At 38.6% G+C, this 22,899-nt stretch overlaps 1 protein-coding gene and 1 long non-coding RNA gene across 9 annotated transcripts in view; one reads left to right on the top strand and one right to left on the bottom strand.

Moving 5' to 3' along the window:
- Positions 1 to 18,009, top strand: part of DNAH8-AS1 (DNAH8 antisense RNA 1) — a 46,613-nt gene extending 28,604 nt beyond the window's left edge. Inside the window, exons 4-5 of the long non-coding RNA NR_038401.1 lie at positions 937 to 1,419; positions 16,667 to 18,009. This is a non-coding gene — a long non-coding RNA (DNAH8 antisense RNA 1). The remainder of the gene's footprint in view (positions 1 to 936; positions 1,420 to 16,666) is intronic.
- DNAH8 (dynein axonemal heavy chain 8) overlaps positions 1 to 22,899 on the bottom strand; it is a 315,482-nt gene that overhangs the window by 106,289 nt on the left and 186,294 nt on the right. For all 8 annotated transcript variants that reach the window (XR_926078.3, NM_001206927.2, XM_011514319.3 and 5 more), the window contains 11 exons: positions 18,097 to 18,250; positions 16,384 to 16,548; positions 14,760 to 14,986; positions 12,918 to 13,036; positions 10,552 to 10,655; positions 9,127 to 9,303; positions 7,098 to 7,265; positions 6,364 to 6,579; positions 2,998 to 3,135; positions 1,319 to 1,446; positions 342 to 513 (listed from right to left, as the gene is read on the bottom strand). Coding sequence is in view for 7 of the 8 variants with exons in the window: in NM_001206927.2 (NP_001193856.1) it covers positions 342 to 513; positions 1,319 to 1,446; positions 2,998 to 3,135; positions 6,364 to 6,579; positions 7,098 to 7,265; positions 9,127 to 9,303; positions 10,552 to 10,655; positions 12,918 to 13,036; positions 14,760 to 14,986; positions 16,384 to 16,548; positions 18,097 to 18,250 (1,768 nt within the window). In the remaining variant the exon portion in view is untranslated. The remainder of the gene's footprint in view (positions 1 to 341; positions 514 to 1,318; positions 1,447 to 2,997; positions 3,136 to 6,363; positions 6,580 to 7,097; positions 7,266 to 9,126; positions 9,304 to 10,551; positions 10,656 to 12,917; positions 13,037 to 14,759; positions 14,987 to 16,383; positions 16,549 to 18,096; positions 18,251 to 22,899) is intronic.

Here is a 22,899-nt window from a genome sequence, read left to right as displayed (position 1 = left end):
GGATGGAGTTTCTCTCTTGTTGCCCAGTCTGGAGTGGAGTGGCGTGATCTCGGAACCATTGCCTCCCTGGTTGAAGCGATTCTCCTGCCTCAGCCTCCTGAGTAGCTAGGATTACAGGCATGCACCATCATGCCCGGCTAACTTTTGTATTTTTAGTAGAGATGGGGATTTCACCATGTTGGTTAGGCTGGTCTTGAACTCCTGACCTCATGATCTGCCCTCCTCAGCCTCCCAAAGTGCTGGGATTACAGATGTGAGCCACCACACCCAGCCGGGTTTCTCAGTAAGTAAGAAATAAAATGAGACTGAAATTCAAATAACATTGGGAAAGTAAAACTTACAGTTGGAGGATCCACCAACATTGAAATAAGATTCAGGTTTTCTGTGAAAGGAATTTTCCGTGCTCTCAACTCCATTTCCCATTGATCTTTAAGCAAATAGTTCCTAAATATCTGATTGAAAGGACCAAGGTAGGAAAGGAATCCCGTGCACAGCAGAATATCACCTACAAGTCTGTGAAGAAAACACACAGCCCCCTCCCCAAAGTGAGTCACCTGACATTAAGTTGTTTGAGAGGTCACAGTTTTGCTCTGTTACTGGGTGAAATCCTTCTTTGCCCCTGCTTAATGCTTGGTAGCCAGGCATGGAAAAAGACCGTGCAAAGTGGAGCCCCAAACCCAAAAGTGGGTAGGAGTGGCCACATGTGGGGTGGTCAGGAAGCAAGAAAGAAGGCTTCCTCCTGAAGCCTACAGGTCGTGAGCCTTGATACTGTGAGGAAAGTATCTTCCCCCATCCTGTCCCTTGCTCTTATTCAGATTTCAGTCTTGTGTTAAACCATTTTTTCTTTCCCCTCCCTTTTTATTTTTTTATTTTTTTATTTTTATTTTTATTTTTTTGCCATTTTCTTGCTCCTCTCTCATTCCCCTCTCTTTTAAGTTTTCTAAGGACACCAACAGACACCAGCAGAAGACAGCCTTGCATTTACAACAAACCATTGATCCACAACAAACCATTGATCCACACTTTCAAAATCATTGAGGTGAAGCATAGAGAACTGGAGTGGAGACGGCTCTGGCAAATCCAAACAATATCAAAAGCACTCTCATACTGAAAACCCACAGTGCTGAACCACAGCTGAGATGTAAAATATTTCACAAAATCTTCTTCACCCTCTATAGTATTTCACCTGAGAGTGCATGATTTAAGTTGCAAGCACTGTCATAGATGATGGGATTCAGAGATGAACACATGGAAATGGACTTTATGTTCTCTAATGTCACAAAGAAAGAGTGATTATGAAGAAGACCCAGATTCCCACCTATTAATCTGAGCTTTGAATTCTTTACTTTGCTGGGTCCACCGGATTTTTTCTCCACTCAGCCCATCGATGAGAGTGGAGGCGGCCTGCATCTTTTTCCGGCACGTATCAGCGTCATTAAGCAAATCCTGCAGCCATAATGGGAGAATGTCTCAAAAAACTTTTCTAAGTGCTTAACACAAACATCCATTATATTCACACATAAAAATACATGGGGGAATTTCTTACTTTGCAAAATAATATAACCTAAAAATACAGTGTGCATTGAAACTTCACATATTAAATTTTGATCATTCATAATATAGTGATTTTACCTTATAAAATTTCAAGGAAAGCAATTTTGTAAGACAGAATCCAAATCACATAATTTATCTTTTAATCAGACAAATTACAATAGTATTTCTATTGAATATTTTCAAAACAGAATCAAATCAATAAGATTTGCCATTTTGATGTCTTGGATGCAGTAATAATCCCGAGTTCTTTGTCATTTACAAAGTATTTTCTCCTGGAAAAATCCCAGACAACAATAGCATGTAGCAGCCGGCTTGTATCAACTCTTAAGAGCCAATTGTTAAATTTTTAGAGTATTTGTGAGCTGGTGCTAAACACAGCCTTTATTAAAAATTAAACTATGTAAGCTTACAATTAAAAAATTATATTAAAAGCAAAAGTAATAAATAACAAAAGCTTACTTCCTAATTATTTAAATGTTAATATTATCTATGGTTTTGAGGTTAAGACCGTTGTATCTGGATGGTGGAAATAGTATGCGATGGGGTACTGCCATGCACCTTTTCCCAAATCTGTGCTCAGTGACGTTACATTGGAGTTTAAAATTGCCAGTGATGGGAGTATTTACACCACAGAAATCAGCAAATATTACAAATCCGGACTTTCCTCTCCCCACACTGCACACTAGATTGTTAACATTTACCAGACCACCACTGCTTACAACCTATCCCAAGAGGTTATATTAGGATCCCCATTTTACAAACAGAGCTAGGTAGATTGCCCCTGTCAGGTCTCTGAGCCAAAGCTAAGCCATCATATCCCCTGTGACCTGCATGTACACATCCAGATGGCCGGTTCCTGCCTTAACTGATGACATTCCACCACAAAAGAAGTGAAAATGGCCTGTTCCTGCCTTAACTGATGACATTACCTTGTGAAATTCCTTTTCCTGGCTCATCCTAGCTCAAAAGCTCCCCCACTGAGCACCTTGTGACCCCCACCCCTGCCCGCCAGAGAACAACTCCCTTTGACTGTAATTTTCCTTTACCTACCTAAATCCTATAAAACGGCCCCACCCCTGTCTCCCTTCGCTGACTCTTTTCGGACTCAGCTCGCCTGCACCCAGGTGAAATAAACAGCCTTGTTGCTCACACAAAGCCTGTTTGGTGGTCTCTTCACATGGACGCGCGTGAAAGCCCCAAACCACACAATTAACAAGTGTCTGAGCTGCATCTCAAACCCAGTTTTCTAACCCTCAAATCAGTGACGGTAAAGTTTGATCAGTGAAAACACAAAAAATAATTTTGAGCACCAAAGATCCAAAGCAGATAGGCATGCTGGCCAATATTTTTTCATCACAACCATTTGCCTGATTTCCAAATATAGCATGCTCTTGTGTAAAGTTTCAGTACACCATTTTGGGGATTTTTTATGTTTAATCTCACCATTTTCTCATTCATTGCTGCATCAAATTTTGCCTGTACTTTATCCAGCTCAGCTTGCTTCTCATCCAGCAGGGCTTGTGCCTTCCCTAACTCAGCATTAGCAACTGCTAACCGGCCTTCCTGCTTGGCCAGGTTGGCCTGAAAAGAAGAAGACGTGGTTAGTGTATTAGCTGCATGAAACAGTCATGATTGTAACTGGTAGATAACACAAATCACATAATTTCTGCACTAGACGGGACTTTCGAGCACATCTGTTTCCGTGTCTTCAGCTGGGAAAGCAAAGCGTCTTGGAGGGTATTTCATTACTTTTAAATTTTTAATTACTGGCCAGGTGTGGTGGCTCATGCCTGTAATCCCAGAACTTTGAGAGGCTGAGGATCACTTGAGCCCAGTTCAAGACCAGCCTGGGCAAAATAGTGAGATCTTGTTTCTACAGAAAAATAGAAAAATTAGCTAGGTATGGTGGCATGCACCTGTAGTCCAAGCTACTCTGGAGGCTGAAGCAGGAGGATCACTTGGGCCCCGGAGGTCGAGGCTGCAGTGAGCTGTGATCGCAACACTGTACTCCAGCCTGGGCGACAGAGTGAGACCCTGTCTCAAAAAAATTTTTTTAATTATTAATGTTCAATAAGAAAACATGGAAAATGCAGCAATGTATAGAAAGGAGGACAAAAGTTACCCCGAAATTTCTCAGACATAACCTGTGAGTATTGTGTTAGGAAGTAGGTAATTGGCATTTTGATTTTTTTTCATTTCATTTCATTTTATGAAGGTCCCAAGTCCATCATGAACGTTAGTTATGTGACTGCATGATATTCTACGTGTTGGATGTATCATAATTAACCTTTTTCCTACTCATATACATTTGTCCACCCACCCATTTTTAGTTATTACAAATAATGTTGTGATAAATACTATTGGATATGTACACATTTAGGATTGTTACTTTGGTAACAATCCAATTTCAAAGATTCTGCAAGTGAAATTACTGTAACAGTAGTTTTTCATATTTTTCTAAGTCCTACAATGTGGTAATGATCTGCTTCCTGTAAATTTAAAATAATCAGTAAAATAATCTAGGCCCAAAGCCTTCTGGGGTAGAAGTTCTTTGATCCCTTTCTTATTTTCATTCTCAATGTTTATTTGAATTTAGCTCCTTTTCCCATAAAACTTTTATTTCATTTAGATTTTCTAATATATTAACATATAACTAGGTAATATTTGCAGCCTGGCACAGTGGCTCACACCTATAATCCTGGGAGCAGTTTGGGAGGCTGAGGTAGGAGAACTGCTTAAGCCCAGGAATTCAAGGCTGCAGTAAGCTATGATTGCACCACTGCACTCCAGCCTGGGGGCCAGAATGAAACCCTGTCTCTTAAAAAACAATTACTTTATAATTATTTAAATCTTCACATCTAGAATTATGAGGATTTATCTTTCTATTTTCATTTGTTTTCATTTTCTTCTTGATTAGATTTTCCAGGAATATTTCTTACAGTTTTGTTTTTGCAAAGCATAGGTTCTTAGATTTGCTCATTAATTCTGCTGCTTTTCTCTAATTTTTAATGTTATTTTTATTGGCTCTATTCCGATTTCCTTAAATTTCATGTGTATGTATGCTTATGAGTGAGTATATACTTTAACTCTTCAGTGGAATGTTTAGTTTCTTTGATGTATGTAAGGGCTAAGAATGTACCATTTTGGCCATATCACAGAAGCTTTGGTAACTCGCTTATTTTCATCATTTCCTAATTAGGAATGACTGAGTTCATTTTAATGTAAAGTTTCCAGTATTATTGCTTATACTCAGAGAATGAGACCCCAGGATTTTTTGCTTTCGGGAATTTAATCAAGGTCCTCTTTTACCATTGAATATAATTAATTCTTATAAATGTTTCTTGTACTCTAGAAATAATTTCATGTTCTTTGTTTATACTGAAGAAAGTTCAATGTAGTTATTCAACCTGAAAAATAGTATCATGTAAAATTTCTATATAATTACTAATTTATGCCTACTCGGGACTGCCTCTCTAATTTACAGGGCCCAGTGCAAAATGAAAAATGTGGGGCCCCTTGTTAAAAAAAAATATTAAGAATCTGAAGAGGGCAACAGCAGAGCATTAACACAAGGCCCTGTGTGCACACCCAAGAAGCTGGCCCTATGCCTACCAGGGGTAGCCACAATCTCAAATTACAATATTATTTTTGTTAATTTCATAGCATGTATCACAATCTCAAATTACAGTATTATGTTTGTTAATTTCCACTGAAAATACTAATGGATTTGGTTTATACAATTTTATGCTATTTTATTTATTGCATAACACATTATTTTAATTGTCTTCACTATGGATCATAATTTTTATCAACAAAGAATAGTTCTTTTCTGATGTGTGTGTGTGTTTTCTTTTTTTTCTTGAATTCTACATTTATTGTAAGATTTCTCCCTTAGTATCTTTTTGTTGGGGTGTGTTTTTTGTATTTTTCCTATCATTTCTCTTTGTTAAAACTTTTTATTTTAAATTGACTTTCTATTTTTCTCAAAGTTCCTCATGCACAGGTTTTAAAGGAGGCAGCCACTTCTCTAAGGCTTATGAAAAACAGTAACCCCCTGCCCACCGACTCCTCATTATCCATTCCACAGAGCAACCACTTATAATACTTTTAGCTTTGTTGGGGTGGGAGATTGGGATGGGGCCCTGGAGGCAGTGTGTATCTGAGTGATACATTTCATGAATCCTTGCCCTCCTAAGAATCTCATTCTGTTCCCTCATCCATGAAGACCAGCTTTGGCCATTATGGAGTGCTTGGACCCCAGCATTTTCCTCCTCAAAACTCTGCATATGTTTTTTCATTATCTTCTAGTATTTAGGGTTGTGGGAAATCTGCAACATCTTGATTTGTCTTTTGTAAACAACCTTTTAGGTTTTGTCTGATTGCTTCTTAGATTGCATTTAAGGTTCTCCTTCTGTCTTTGAAATTTAAAACCTTTCTAGGTGTCAAACCTAATTTTATAAGTTTTGTTTGAAATACAGTAATCAAATTCAACCTCCAAACCTAATCTCCAAACTTCAAAGAAATGGCAAGTTTTTCTTCTTATGACAGCTTGATTATTATTCCCAAGAAATTCATTTCCTGTGTAAGTTAACATGTTGGTTTCAGTCACTTGCCTGCATTGTCAAGAAACATGTAACAGATATAAAAAGAAGGAGAAACTTTGAGAGGACATAGAGAAAAAAGACAAATTTGGTAACAGGGACATCTACCTTTATTGGTCTAAACTACGCATTGTCTTTTAATAGCAGTAATACTGATGACTGATTTTATGAAATATTGATTTACTGGGAGAAGGAAGGAAACTTTTACCTTCAGAGGCAACACTTCTCTATTGATGCCATAAAATATTGCCATAGCAAGTGTCCAAGACAGGAGACCAGCCACATTCCCACAGACTTTTTTGGCACTTTCAAAAGTATAATCATCCATATTAAAATATGGCTGTAGTAACTCAACAGTCTCTTCATTTATAGTGTCCTTAGGGAACTGCTGAAGGCTCCACAGGAATCCTGTTGCACTCATCAACTGAAAAATAGTATTATAACCTGTAAGTTCTGGAAGAAAATACTTTCTTCCTGAGTTAATATGTACTTCTAAATTGAATTTTCTCAAAGAAGTAATAGATGATTTGCTCTAAATACACAAATTGAGACTATTGGCAGTAGCCAACCTAAATCTGTAAATCACAAATTGTCTTCTGGATTCCATGTGGAAAGAGTAAAGAAGAAAAGCTATGTAAGTTTTCTTTCTGGTAAGTGCATCTGAATGCCACCAACCACACAAGCCCCTTTTTGAAAACTGGGCTGGGTTGACACCAAGGCTGTGCCAATACTAGCCACCGGTTCTGGACAGATGTCATAAAAAGAAGGTATTTGGCTTTAAAATCTATCCCTCTTTACATTTTAGGTGATGGAGTTTAAGATAAACTTTTCAATACGCAATGATCAATTATTGTCTGCCAGTTTGTCTGGTCTATATTGAGTGTCCTGGGCTGAGGACGCCTGATGCAGCTCATAGGATTGACAATGATAGATTTTACTTACCTTTAATGACTCTCCCCATGATGGCTTACAGCAAGATTTTTCTGGATCCATAGTAACAGGGTCAATTTTCTTTTGAAATAGTAACAGAACACAGTCCATGATTCTCATAATAAGATGTGGTGGTTTTGCAAGTTTCCTGACTGTGGCAATATCATTTGGCTTGATAGTCTATATTTGGGATTAAGGATCAATATTTTGTTTGTTGAGTGGTATTAATAGTTATATGGAAATCTAATACTTTTCAATAATTAAGATAGAAAACTTTAAAACATATTTTCTCTCCATTTCCAAGATTTTTGCTTAGTGGCTCTTTCATTGTTATTTTGGTATTTGTGTTTATTTGTATGTATTCTTCTTTTCCCTGTTGCTCCCAACGAATTGGTTTAAAATATCACTAACAGGCATTGCCATCATAGACCTCTGTTAATAAGTCCCACTGATATGTAACATTTAGATAACTTGCATCTTCAAAGCACAGGGTCTATATTAGGTGTGGATATTAAGAGAGGATACAAAGCCCTGAATATCAGAAACCTCACCTTTAGCCTTCATTGTGAGGGCTTCCCTGTCTATGGCAGGGAGAGGAATTAGAAGGAGACAAGAAAATTACTGTAATATATGGCTCATAAAAACATTTTTGAAAATTTCTATCCATTGGCTGGGTTTGGATTAAGACATTGCCTGACCATCAAGGCAAGGACTGGGAGACCATATGATCAATAACATGTTCTAAGACTCCTTCGGTTCGGTGATCTCTTCCTTTTGTACGTTACAGTAAGACCCATAAAGGAAGTGGGGGTGCAGAATGTGTCCTGGTCATTGTGAAAATTTTATTAAATGATTATCATAGATTTATTCATTCATTTAACAATTGCAGGCATTCTCCCATATAAAACAAAGCAAACCAAAATAGTCTTGTCCTCATAACCTCTGAAAATGGCAAAGCAAATACAATTACCCTACATAAGGATTTCTGCCATGACAGAAGCATGTGAGTGATAGGAAAACAAAGGAAGGCCTCGAAGAAGAACTGAAAACTTCCTGGGAGGAGTGAGGTCTGGGCCCAGATTTAAAGAATGACTCTAATTAGGCAATGAAAGTTAGGAAAAGCATTCCCAGCAGAGGTGGAGGCACGTTTAAAGGTAACAGATCCTGACCATTCTTCCAGAATCCTATACATTTTTCTGTATGACTGGATCGCATTGTGTGTAGGGACAAAATGACAAGAGATAAAGTTGAAGAGACAGACAGGAGCCAGGTCATCAGCAGGAACAGAAGCACTAATATTTATTGAGTGCTTTCTATGTGCCTAGCATTTTGTATTAATTAATTTTAATGCTCACATTGATTCTTTAAGGATCAATGAGAAATTATAATCCCCATAGAAACCCAAGAAAGTTAAGCAAATTTACTCCAGATCATCTATATGTACATACATACTTATATGTGTGTGTATTAGCAGTGTGTAAGTATATACACGTGTGTATATATGTGTGTATATATCCACATATATATACATGCACATATATGTGTATGTATGTGTGTGTGTGTGTATGTGTGTGTGTGTGTGTATTATATATAGAGGTTGAATGCAGGTCTGCCTGCCTCCAAAGCTGTGCCCCTTTTGCCTCACAGCTGTGGATGTCTAGCTCAGGACTTTATCCTAAGAGCAGTGGGAACCACAGGAAGATTTTAAAAGGGAGCATGACATAATCTGGAAGGGATGCTGGAGAAACTGAGCAGGCTCTCTGCGTAATCTGAATTTCTCACAGTTTAGGCCACTAACCACTAGCATTATTTCTCAGTTCTCATGGAAGACCAATTTGTGGGATGAAAATAATATAAGAGGGGAAGACTTTAAAAAAATTAGAACTTAGAAAACTGAATTAATTGACACATTTGTTTCCAGACTCAGAGATTATCAATCACATTAAGAATTCAATTCAGTTTTCTGATGAGTTAATTTCATGTAATGAAACATGAAGCCTTCTAGGACTTGTGTTGGAAGGGGTAACAATGCACTGCTCACATTCAGGGCTGCTTCTGCTTCTTCCAGTGCAGGTTTAGCTGCCTCAAGCTTGCTTTCAGCTTTCACTTTTTCACTATCAATTTCATCCACAATTTTTTGGGCTTTGTCCTTTACCTCCTGTACTTCATTTTTAATTTTGGCTGAAGCCTGAGCGCTTACTGTGACTTCTGCTAATACCTGTTAAGTTGAGGAAACACATGAAAGCCAATAGAAACCTTTCAAGCAAAATTTATAGATCTGAATAGTGAGCAAATATTTATTCAACATAATATAAAACACGAATAAGAACAAACTTATTTCCTAAGTTGTCTATATTTTAAGGTATATTAAAGTAAATTCCTTTGAGCAGTTCCTCGCAGTCTTCCATTTTCTAAGCTTTTCTTAGGCTTAGAATATATATATAAATAAATATTTAAAGCTTTCAGAAGAAATAGTATTTTCACTCTACAAATTTCTAGAAAATTAAAACAATTCAAGTAAGTATCATAGAATAAGGGCAAAAAACCATTTTAAGCCTTGTATAATAACAATAAAAGAAGCTAATGTTTATTGAGTGCTTACCATATATGCCAGGACTATGCTTAAGTGCCTCCCCTATGTTAGTTCACTCATTTCAGCAACTGGCTAAGGATCAAGACTGAAGTATCTATTCTTAACTGACTCTTGGTGACTGGAAGCTGAAAGTCTGAGACTAGAAGGCTGTATAATAGATAAAAAAGCAGCACATAGGCCGGGCACCATGGCTCATGCCTGTAATCCCAGCACTTTGGGAGGCCGAGGCAGGCGGATCACAAAGTCAAGAGATTGAGACCATCCTGGCCAACATGGTGAAACCCCGTCTCTACTAAAAATACAAAAATTAGGCAGGAGAATCGCTTGAACCCAGGAGGTGGAGGTTGCAGTGAGCCGAGATCACGCCACTGCACTCCAGCCTGGGCAACAGAGCAAGACTCTGTCTCAAAAAAAAAAAAAAAAAAAAAAAAAAGAGAAAAAGCAGCACACATATATACCTATCTCCTTGAGAGGAGTATGGATTTTTCCTCTTTCTTTCTTTTAAAAAAAAAAACTCTACCAACTCTTCCTCGATTTGGGCCATCCCAGAAACCTGGAACATACAGGGACCTTAAACAGAAGACCAAATATAACTCATAGTCAAGCAGAAATTTCATAAACAGATGAAAAAGAACAAGAGAGACAGACAGAGTGAGAGAAGAAATAATAGTCTTAGGCCAAGTAGCAAAATTAATAGTTCAGGTATACGCTGGTATAAGTTAAACAAAAATGTCTAATGGTCTTTGTGAACACTATCTTATCAGGAATTGTCCATGGGTTTATACCCTGCTTGTTCTTTAGTACCATTTTAAAACAATGCATTTTAATATGGAAAAATATTCCTCATCAGTGATAAAATAAATGCAAACTCACTTCGTCTGCTTTTATGGAAGCCACTGCCAACTCCTTCTCCTTGACTGCAAGATCCTGAGAGAGTTTAGCAACAGATTCACTTGCCTCCATTAGTTTATCAAGACCTTTACAAATACACACATATATACCTTTACTGAGTACAGGTATATGCCTTCATCAAATATTTATTCAATGTTTACTATTTATTAGGCACTGTACATGTAATATAACAAACACAAAATTGTAGACAAAAGCTTTAAAAATATACATGTCTTAAAAGCAACAATATTGACCATATTTCTGAGTTTCAACAGGAAGGCAAAGAAAATAGCTCTGACCGAAGAATATCACGTAGCTACATTTAAGGGAAAGTCACAATGTCCTATTGAATAAGATTAGTTTGGCCAAGAAACTTATTTGACAAATTTATGCTCTCTGTGGCTTTGTAAACAGTTTGTAGCTATCATTTTTTGCCTTTGAATCATATTGCAGCTGAGGTGGCAAATGAAATAGAAAATATATTAACATTTTTGTGGTTCTCTTTGTTATAAAAATGAAAATAACTGTGAAAACTTATGTAATGGACTTTGCAACTTTTAGCACCGTAGAGAAAAAGAACTGGTTAACTGAATTGCTCACATTCCAACGGGTTCTAGGTAGTGGGATGTTGGTAAATATTTAAATCTGGGTCACTGGGAAAAGGGGAAGCCCTCATCTGTATATTGTCCAATTTCTGTAGTGTAAACACTCCCACCATGGCTGATTTCAGGCTACCAAAAGATTCTCAGTACCACACTGTTATGTAATATTCCTACCATACAGACAGAAGTAAATAACCTCAAGAACATTGATATAAGAAAATAGAGTAGGCCGGGTACGGTGGCTCACCCCTGTAATCCCAGAACTTTGGGAGGCCAAGGCGGGTGGATCACCTGAGGTCAGTTCGAAACCAGCCTGGCCAACATGGCAAAACCCTGTCTCTACTAAAAATACAAAACAAGCTGGGCATGGTGGCGCATGCCTGTAATCCCAGTTACTTGGGAGGCTGAGGCAGGAGAATTCCTTGAACCTGGGAGGCAGAGGTTGCAGTGAACAGAGATCACGCCATTGCACTCCAACCTGGGCAACAGAGCAAAACTCTGTCTCAAAGAAAAAGAAAAAAAAAAAGAGTAAAACTAAGAAGGGATGAGTTTGAGCATTTATTGCCTTTATTTTAAATCCAATTTGTTTAATTGTAAGTATACATGAGTTAATTTTTAATAAAAGTTCTGTTTAACAAGGAGATCACAAAATTCCTAAAAATTTAACATTGTGTTCTCAAAAGCCACTATGAGTTGGCTTCAGCACACTACTGATCTAAAGCATCATATAGGAAAGCTGCAAGAAGCTGAATCATGAGAAAACCGCAGAAGAAGCCTTCTTTCACAGTCTTCTCTCATAACTATGACTTCACAGACCTTGGCGCTGTTATGCTATGTGACCAAGTGGTTTTTGTTTTGATTTTTTCTTGAGACAGGGTCCCACTCTGTCACCTAGGCTGGAGTGTAGTGGTGCAATCTCAGTTCACTGCAGCCTTGACCTCCAGGGCTCAAGTGATCCTCCCACCTCAGCCTCCCAAGTAGCTTGGTCTACAGGCATGCACCACCACAATGCCTGACTAATTTTTATATTTTTGTAGAGACAGGGTTTCACCATGTTGCCCAGGCTGCTCTTGAACTCCTGGGCTCAAGTGATCCGCTTGCGTTGGCCTCTCAAAGTGTGGAATTACAGGCATCAGCCACCATACTCAGCCCCTCAAGTTTTATTTAGAACTTGAAAAATAAGAACTAAGGTGTTTTAGATTGTTTGGGCCACATGCTTTCTGGACATATAATCTCTTCCAATGTTTACTTTTGCTAGTTATACTACATATAGCAGACACTTGGAAAACTCTTGCTTAGGTACACAATCTCTTTTTGTTTTTATTTGTTTTTGCTTCTATTTTGCCTTTTTCTTTATTAGAAATGTAGGGAAAATTAACATGGCAAAGTTTATACAAATCAAGGCAAATCAAAATGAAACCAAAAACTGAAATTGTTGTCCATTCCCAAAAGCTGGCTTGTCCCCATCTGCCAGCAATGGCTCAGTGACTCAGCACAGGGGACCCAGAGTTGAAAGAGCCAGGAGAAATGGTTCTGCAGAGAAAATAGGCCACTTCTGTTTAGATTTTCTTCTGTTCAGAGTTTCTCGACAGGTCAAAATACCCTCAAGGCCATCCTTTAAAATTATCTACTACTAACAAAGTGAGTATTTCATTTTCAGACAAAATGTCCACCAAACAAAATATTGAGATCCCTATCAAATAAACCCTATTTCTATTCCATCCCATTCCATTCCATTCCTCTTACCAATATTCATACGTTCAGCCTGTTCATTAATGAACTTCACCTTTTCAGCATAAATGTTTTTATAACCATTTATAAATGAGAGGTAAGATTTGGGAGTCACATGTGCTCTTCGGCGGTATCTGAAAGCAGAACATTAAAAGGACCATTTCAATCATTGTGCGTACTCCCATAAAACGACACCTTTCCCAAGGTGAAATCAGTGTGATCATGTAGAGTGATTCACTAGCAGGAAGACAGGACTTGAGCAAGGTTTCTCAGAGGTGAGGTGGAAAAAGGACTAAATCTGTCTGATGTTTCAACCCTGAGGGGTCTTTGACTTCACCCTTAACTCCAACTCTGTTTCCTCATCTGGAAAATAGAGAAAAGAATATCTGCTCTACCCCTCCCAGAATTTTGTGAAGATCAAATAAAATCGCATATATGAATCTATGTGAAAGCTGGTGTCAACAGTGCAAAACTTTAAGGTTCTGGACAAATATTAGGGATAAGTGGTTGAAATGAATTTGTGCTGTGATCCATTTTCATTCAAGTGATATTTGTTACAACCTCTTCACTGCTGGATACCAGCTGGGTGGGTTTACAGAAGCAAAAACCAATGTCTCCCAAGTTCACTGGATTGGCCTTGAAATCAAGGCAACCACACTCGATTCAAATGTCCACTTTATTGTGGCTTTATTACAAAAGGCATAATTTTATACAGAAGAAGCTCAAGTGAAAAAAGAGTTCTTCACGTACTATAAAATTATTTAACCTTTTATATTAATTTAAACTTTTGTAGTTTTGAAGATTTTTAATGCTTTTGAGTTTTTTTTAAGATCTTGGGCATATATGTGACTATCATTAAAGTGTTGTAAAAATATTACATTCAGAATAAACTTCAACAACCTAAGAACATATAAAAAATTTTGAAAAATATACCCAAATTTTCAAAGTAAAGAAACAGATTTTTGTAGCTGCACAAAGGTAAAAATTTATCTCCATGGATGACATTAGCAGGCGTTCAAATAGAAAGAAAATCTTCTTAACAGTAAGAATTAGTATACACTGATTCACCAAGAGAATTTGGGAGATCTTATCTAAAAGGGTGGTCTGGGAATGGTTTTAAGTAAAGGAAAAGGTATGGAATAAATAAACTTTTGTGAAGTAGGAACCTCACTGAAAATCAATGAAAGTGTTACGCAAACTCTCTATGCAGAAAAACAGGCATAGCTTTTCTGGGGATCCACGTTGGCCCATTTGTCAATCTTACACAGTGACTGTCATGCTTTGGGGAAAAAAGCTGTGTTTTTGCATGGTTGACACCAGCTTTCACATAATGAACATGCCATTGCTGCTTTTAGTGAGTGGTTTTCCCATAGTCAATTGATATTTTGTTTCATAGTTGTCTGGCATAGAAACATTGGTAAGACTAAGTAATGCAAATACAAATTCTAAATACTCCTTTAACATAAGGCAATAAAGAAACATTAGAAGCAGTGTACTTTAATCAAAATAAATAATACATTTGAATAAGAAACTAATTTTAAACAGTTGGTGATGAATTAGTTAAGTCATTTTCAAAACAAAATTAAGCAGATGAAATAAAGTAATTCATTAAGCATCTGTTACTCTGAGGCTTGGAGGATAAAAAGGTATTTAAGTGTGGACACTAGTTCGTTTTTAAATCTTGTTTACTTGCCATCTCTTCATACATAGTCACTAGAAAATCAAAGCAAGAAAGATCTAAAAATACAGCTCGTGCTCAATGAATAGAAAGAGTCTTCTGCTGGATGTTACAATGCATTCCTCTTGGGAATACATGCTGTGGTTCCATAGCGATGGTGCTTATGTAATATCACTTACCTTTGGAAATAACTTTCACAGCTCTCTGAAACCATGTCATGAAACAGGCCCATTGTTTCTACAACTTGTCTTTTAATTTCACTAGAGCAGACAATATTATAGTCTGAAAGGAAGTAGGAGGCCACAGCAATCAGAGCCTCCCTTGGCCAGCGGCTGAACCAGTCCATAGTGCAACCTGATATCAAGCCAGGAAATTTCAAAGAACGGGCACGGAACTTCTCACCAACCTATTGATAGCAAAGTCAACAAACATTAGAAACACAGAGGGGTTATAAGTCAGCCAGAGAGAGATTTACGCAATCTGACCCAAGAGTGTGACATCACAGATTTGAAAATGAATCTTCTTGGGCTGCAGTCATATATAAATTTAATGTTGTGATGAAGGGAGGAAATATACTCCACACTCTTCCCTGTCCTGGGACTACATCTACATTATTGCGTTCAATTCTAGGAACTTTCTTTTAAGAGGAAACTGATAAACTAGTACTCTTTTAGAGAGAGGGCCAGGACAGCAAAAGGCCTGGACACTGGGACAAGTGAGAACAGCTGCAGGAACAGTTGTTTGGTCTAAAAAGGAATCAACTTAGACAGCCTTGCAAAAACCTTCTCCAAATATCTGAAAAACTTTACACGGAAGAGGGATTGAGTTCCTTGTATAGGGCAGAGTTAGAATCAGAAAAGTACAGAGACAAAATTCTATTGATTATAAATAAGAGCTTTTTGGCAATTAGACTATCCAAGAATGAAGCAGGCTGCCTTATAAATTAGTGAGACTCCCTAGAGCAGAGCTGTCAATAGAACTTTAAGTGATAATAAAAATGCTTTATATATATGCTTTCCAGTGTGGTAGCTATTAGCCACACATGACTACTAAGCACCAGGAATGGAGCTAAGCCAGGCACGGTAGCTCATGCCTGTAATCCCAGCACTTTGCGAGGCCCAGGCAGGTGAATCGCTTGAGTTCAGGAGTTCCAGACCAGCCTGGACAACATGGCAAAACCTTGTCTCTACAAAAAATACAAAAATTAACTGGGCATGGTGGCACATGCTTGTAGTCTCAGCTACTTGGGAGTCTAAGGTGAGAGGATGGCTTGAGCCTGGGAGGTTGATGCTGCAGTGAGCCATGATCATGCCACTGCACTTCAGCCTAGGCAACAGAGCAAGACCCTGTACCAAAAATAAACCAAATAGTAAGTAGAAATGAGGCTAATTAATCAAAACTTAAGTAGCCATATATGCCTAATGGCTACTATATTGGGAAGCACAATGAGATAGAGATTTTCAAACCTACATCAGAGACATTATAGTAAAGCTAATATGTCTACATGGGAGGTGGAGCTGGACGAGGTTACATCACCAAGTCCCTTACAATTCAAACAACCCATGTCTCTAGGTAATTAATGAAAATTGCAGGTTATGCAGTATTTTTTAATAATATGAATATTTTAAATTACACTGGAAATGAGAATTTGGTCAATGGAGATTGTGTGGTACAAAAGTGTTAATTTTAATTCAATGTAAAAATATTAATTTCTAAGATCATTTTCTAATCAGAGAAGGCAAACTAAGCACCTTTAAATAAGGAACTCTTTCTACGTAGATATAAATAAAAATAAAAACTTACTGGAGAAAAGCAGAGAACAACATGTAAGTTCTTCCTTGATCTTGAAATGAAGTATTCATACAAATTATCAAAGGTAGGAGGATGGCGAGGTAGCTCCCTCTTCATCACTGAAATCAGACCTTGGGTGATTTCATCCATCTCATCTCGTGCAAACAAGTTGGAGATCTTTAAGGAATGGACAAGGAAGTGTTCTGTGTTTTAAGAGTTCTCCACAGTCAATTCACTGCCAAAGTCCAGTCCCTTTTTTAATTTGCATGTCATCTTGTTTCATATTTTCTTTCAGCATCTCCACAGTCAAATCCCTGATTTGCCAGAGATGATCAAGACTGCAACTTTTTATTGAGCAGCTCAATCAAGAACTAATTGTGTTCTCCTGTGCTCCAATAGCTATCACCAAAAAGCTATCTCCACCACCACTCAATCATCTCTTTAAAATGTCCAGGGGTGCCCTCTGTACTTTGACTCAGAGTCAGTCTAATCAACTCTGGCTCCAAAATACTTAACTAATTTTTGCACCATTAAGCATCTGTATACCATGGTGTAGGGAAGAGTTAACACAGCAGGCCTAATCTTGAAAAGGGTATGCTTGCAGAGCTGACCCTTGTCTGTTATCAGGGAACTTGGCTTTTGGAATGTCTCCTCCATTAGTAATTGATAAGGTTGTTTTGCAGTGCCAACTAGACTGTTTACACAAACCTTGTGATACATGGCAAACATCTATCTGCTTTCCTTCTAGGAATCTGGAACTTTGGTAGTTGTAGCTAGGCAGGAAGTGACCAAACCTAAAAAAAAACCACTGGACTCTGAATCTCAAGTGGGCTTCCCTGAATGGAAACAGTGCATATGTTACTGCCCTTCATACTGGATGGAGAGGACGTTCTGCATGGCCCCTTGGCAAAAGCATAGGAAGCTGGAACATCAATTCCATGTTCCTGGAACATCGATGACTCCACAAGATGAGTCTTTTTCTCTACTGATCTGGCTCTGTATCCTTACTGTGTTGCCACAATAAATCTCAGCCATGAGTATAACTATAAGTTGAACATCCCTTATTCAAAATGCTTGGGACCACAATGTTTCAGATTTCAGATTTTTTTCAGATTTTGGAATGTTTGCATTTCACTTACTGGTTGAGCACCCCCAAATCAAAAAATCTGAAATCTAAAATGCTCCAATAATGAGCATGTCCTTTGAGCATCATGTCCGTGCTCAAAAAGTTTCAGATTTTGGAGCATTTTGGATTCCAGAGTTTTGGATTTGAGAAGCTCGACCTGTATATGCTGAGTCTGGTGAGTCTTTCTGATGAAGTACTAAAGATGTGAGTGCTCACGGAAGTGCTGATACAAGCGGTTTCAGAAGTGGCAGTACAGACATCCATTTACAACTAACAGAACTCTTTCAACCATTCTATACTCCTCACTAGTATGCAGATAGATGGACAGATACTTTGCTTCTCCTAAAATAAATTATAAGACCAAAGTGAAGACTGAAGAGACAAGTAAGGAACCATGTTCAAAATTAAACAAAGCATCTGGAGATGGGCAGCATTCATTTCACAGGAACTTCAGAAAATCTGCTAAATCTCGTACATTAACCATGTCTAAAATAAAAAATGTACTAAATAGCCTCATTTTTGAAAGGTTGCTGCTTTTTCTATTCCAATATAATTTATATTTTTACAATATGGGCTTTTTCTCTACTTTTGAGACTTACCTCCCCTGAAGATAGCAAGTTGTTAAGGTATTCTAGAAATGCCTCATCTTTTATTTCACTGTCAGTAAAGATGAAAGTGATGCCTTTTCCATCAGCACCAGCAACTTTGTACAAAGCTTTTAAATCATCTGTTAGATTAGTCACATTGTAAGACCTAAGAAGAAAAATGATAGAAAGTTTTAGATTAAAAAATATATAGTCGGCTGGGCGCGGTGGCTCACACCTGTAATCCCAGCACTTTGGGAGGCCAAGGCGGGTGGATCACGAGGTCAGGAGATCGAGACCATCCTGACCAACATGGTGAAACCCCATCTCTACTAAAAAAATACAAAAAAAAAAGCCAAGTGTGTGGTGTGTGCCTATAATCCCAGCTACTTGGGAGGCTGAGGCAGGAGAATCGCTTGAACCCGGGAGGCAGAGGTTGCAGTGAGCCGAGATCATGCCACTGCACTCCAGCCTGGGCGACAGAGTGAGACTCCTTCTTAAAACAAATAAACAAACAAACAACAACAACAAAAAAAACCATAGTCATAATTTATCCCAAAACATAATAATAGCCTGTGATTATTAGAGCATAATCTGTACCTGCTCCAATAGATACTAAGTAATGGTGCCTGCTAGAAAACACAGAGATTAGAGCTAAAGAGTGATATGTTACCATTCAAAACAAATATTTCGTTTAAGCTGAGAACTGAGAAACAGGGAACTTACCAAAAGTGATCCACAAAGCATAAGTGGGAATAGAGAAATGAACTTTTAGTCCCTGCAATCTGACAGTCCTCAGCAACAGATTTTGTCCGAGTAAATATATATATAATATCTAAAACTCATCTGAAATTTGGATGAGTTTGATTTGGTGAAAAATTCAAAATACGTTATGAATAAAATTAGTCATAAATTGTATATAGTGGCAATTTGCACAGCTCATTAAGTGGCTAGATACAAAGAAAACCCACAGAAAAAGATGCATTGTGCAATAAGGTATAAATAATAGAAATGTTAGATGGCTACAAATTATGGAATGAAAAGATCTTGGTCTTTGTTTTTTGGTTCACTCTGTTTCCGGTTAAATGTATGTGCTACCAGAGGTGATGAGATGTGTAAAAATAAAGCAGACATTATCTGAAATGTTGTATGTAAATCCTCATGGGTAAGCTAATGACAAGGACTAAAAGGTAATCCTCACTGGAAGGAGGTGTTACAATGCAAGTAATGGGCAGTAGGCCATGGGGTCTCACAGAAAGACTATGAGCCCTGGAACCAGAAAGATCTAGTGGCCTGATGCTGTCAGAGTAATCCTCTCACTGACTGGCCAGTCTCTGAACTAATCAGCCAAAGAGGTCAATTTGGCTGATTTTTTAAAGAATTAGACTGACTGTGATGTATTGCTTTTGCAATACATAGAGACAGTCACAACACACCCCTTGTCCAGATCCTGACCTCTCTTGTTTCTTTCTTTCAAGTTTTCCAAAAGTATTCTCTGTGCTTCTTCTCTTCCTAATGCAATGTGGCTTGTGCACCCATCCACTTCACTGAAAGTGTCGTCATGCATATCAGTTGCCACTTTTCATGTCTTAACATTTTCAGATTCTTTCTTTTTTTTTTTTTTTTTTTTGAGACGGAGTTTCACTCTTCTTGCCCAGGCTGGAGTGCAATGGCATGATCTCGGCTCACTGCAACCTCCACCATCAGGGTACAAGCGATTCTCCTGCCTCAGCCTCTTGAGTAGCTGGGATTACAGGCGCCTGTCACTATGCCCAGCTAATTTTTTTGTATTTTTAGTACAGATGGGGTTTCACCATGTTGGCCAGCCAGTCTCGAACTCCTCACCTCAGGTGATCCGCCCACCTCGGCCTCCCAAAGTGCTGGGATTACAGGCGTGAGCCAGGGCGCCCGGCCAGCATTTTCAGATTAATTATCTACCTGCTTAGTTTCTGGAAACCACTCTGGATTTCCTCCTCTCTGTCTTGCCTCTTCTTCTCACTCTCCATCGCAAGCCCCCTTTCTCTATGTTGGGAGACCCCAGAATTCTTTCCACAGCCATCTTTTCTTTCCATGACGCACCCTATTCGTACTCCCCATGACCACAAAAGGTTCCTCTCTACTGAGACTTCTATATTGCTATCTCCAGAACCAGAACCCCTCTCCTGAACTCCACATCCATGAGTCTTATTATCTATGGACACTGTGTTCTGCAGACACCTCAGACTCAAATGTACTGAACTAAATTCTCACTTTACCCTTCAAAGCTGGTCATTTTTTTATTTATTCAACACATCCTTTTACAGAATTGGTTAAAAGTAAGCATTTAATAATAAAAGTAAAAAAGACAAAGATTACAGTGGCCCATTCTCAGGGAGCTTACAGCTTAGTGAAGGAGATAGAAATGTATGTGAACAAGCACTTTTTTTTAATGCAGTGTGGTAAGTACAGTCATGCATTGCTTAACAATGGGGTTACATTTTGATAAATGCATCCTTAGAAAATATTGTCACTGTGGCTGGGCGCGGTGGCTCATGCTTGTAATCCCAGCACTTTGGGAGGCTGAGGCAGGTGGATCACAAGGTCAGGAGTTCAAGACCAGCCTGGCCAGCATGGTGAAACCCTGCCTCTACTAAAAATACAAAAATGAGCCAGGCGTGGTGGTGCTCGCCTGTAATCCCAGCTACTCGGGAGGCTGAGGCAGATAACTGCTTGAACCCGGGAGGTGGAGGTTGCAGTGAGCAGAGATTGCACCACTGCACTCCAGCCTGTGTGACAGAGTGAGACTCCTTCTCAAAAAAAAAAAAAAAAAAGGAAGAAAGAAAGAAAAAGAAAACATTGTAACTGTGGGAGCATAATATAGTTTGGATGTTTGTCCCCTCCAAATCTCGTGTTGAAATGTAACCACCAATGTTGGAGGCGGGGCTTGGTGGGAGGTGTCTGGGTCATGGAGGCAGATCCCTCATGAATGGCTTAGCACTATCCCCTTGGTAATGAGTGAGTTCTAACTCTGAGTTCATATAAGATCTGGTTGTTTAAAGGAGTCTGGGACCTGCACCCTCACTCTCTCACTCCAGCTCTCACAATATGACCACCTGCTGCCCCTTTGCCTCCTGCCATGATTGAAAGCTTCCTGAGACCCTCACCAGAAGCAGGTGCCAGCATCACACTTCCTGTACAGCCTGCAGAACCTTGAGCCAAAACAAACCTGTTTTTAAATAAATTACACAGCCTCAGGTATTCATAGCAATGCAAAAACTGACTAATACAGAACAGCGTAGAGTATGCCTACACATACCTAGGCTATATGGAATGGCCTATTGCTCCTAAGCTACAAACCTGAACAACATGTTACTGCACTGAATGAATACCATAGGCAATTCTAATGCAATGGTCCATATTTGTGTATCTACCTAACCATAGAAAAGGTACAGTAAAAATACAGTATAAAAGATTTTTAAAATGCTACTCGTGTATAGGGCAGCTCCATTATAATCTCATGTGACCACCATCATATATGTTGTCTGTTGTTGACCAAAATGTCCTTATGGGGCACACAACTGTACCACTAGAGAAATTAGAGTGTCATCCTAGCCTTCCTGTTCTTTCCTCCTCTTCCTGAATATTGGGTCAGTTACTAAGTCCTATCAATCCTGCATACTTTAAACTGTCCCTGCTGAGTCTTCCTCTCTATTCCCACTTCATCTGCTGTTATAAAATGTATCCAGAATTTGTTGTAATCAAGTGTGGTAAGACACAATGACACAGGAACGACTGTCATGAAGCAAGATGTTTATACTCAAGGATCCCCAGAAACAGAAGGGGGCTTGACATGCTAGGTAGGGTGACATGGGGAAACACCAGAGTCAATCAGGAGGCAAAAGGAGTGATGGGAAAACACGGGCAAGAGTCTTTATTGTGGTTTCCATGAGAAAGGCAAGGCAGGTAAGCAGAATTAGGATTTGCTAGTTTGAATAATTTCAGCAGCCTCTGGGGCATAGGAGTGGTCCCTTGTTGACTGGTATGTGGCCCTGGGGTGATTAGGGCAGAGGAATATTCTAATCCACCATGAGATGCCACCACACACCCACCAGATAGAGGTGGTGGTTGGGAGTAAGGACTCTGGATTGGTTGGTTTGCATATGAAAGGTACTCTCCTGGAGGAGCTGTTTGAATCTCTAAGAATTGGCTAACCTAGAAGGGTCAGTCTCTCCCCAGTCAGCAGAGTCTCAGATGCCAGGGTATCAAGAATACAGAAATTAAGAAAATATAGTGAATAAATTTGCCTTAATTTAAGCCTCCGTCATTCCTAACTACAATCAGTGCAACACCACCTATCTCAGGATCCCAAATTTAGATGCCTACAGGAATCAGACAGATAATGCCAGTGAGTGAAGCAGTGCTGTTGGGGCCTGTGGATTGGAGGATTGCATGTCCCATCCAAGGAGGCAGCTGCTACTGAGCTCTGCCACCTGGGAGTGTAGGCCCTAGGTTGCCAGATCTTCCAATTATTTCAAAAAGTCAGAAATACGCTTTTCTAAAACATGAAACCTCCCGATTTTTAAATGCTGACAACTAATTTAATTTTTTGAAGTAAAATTAAATTAATACCTACTTATTTGATATTTTATGTTTTTAAAATACTTCTATAAATTGTATTTTGTTCAATTTTTATTTTTCTTTTGTTTGGCAGCAGAATGATTTGTGTGTTTGTTTATAAATTGGCAAAGTGATCTAAATTTTATACGGAAATAAAAGGCCAAATGGACAAGACGTTTTGAAGAACAACAAAGTTAGAGATCTGACACTACCAAATATACA

Source organism: Homo sapiens, chromosome 6, assembly GCF_000001405.40.
Source record: "Homo sapiens chromosome 6, GRCh38.p14 Primary Assembly".
Lineage (NCBI taxonomy): Eukaryota > Metazoa > Chordata > Mammalia > Primates > Hominidae > Homo > Homo sapiens.
This window is presented reverse-complemented; position numbering and strand designations above follow the sequence as displayed.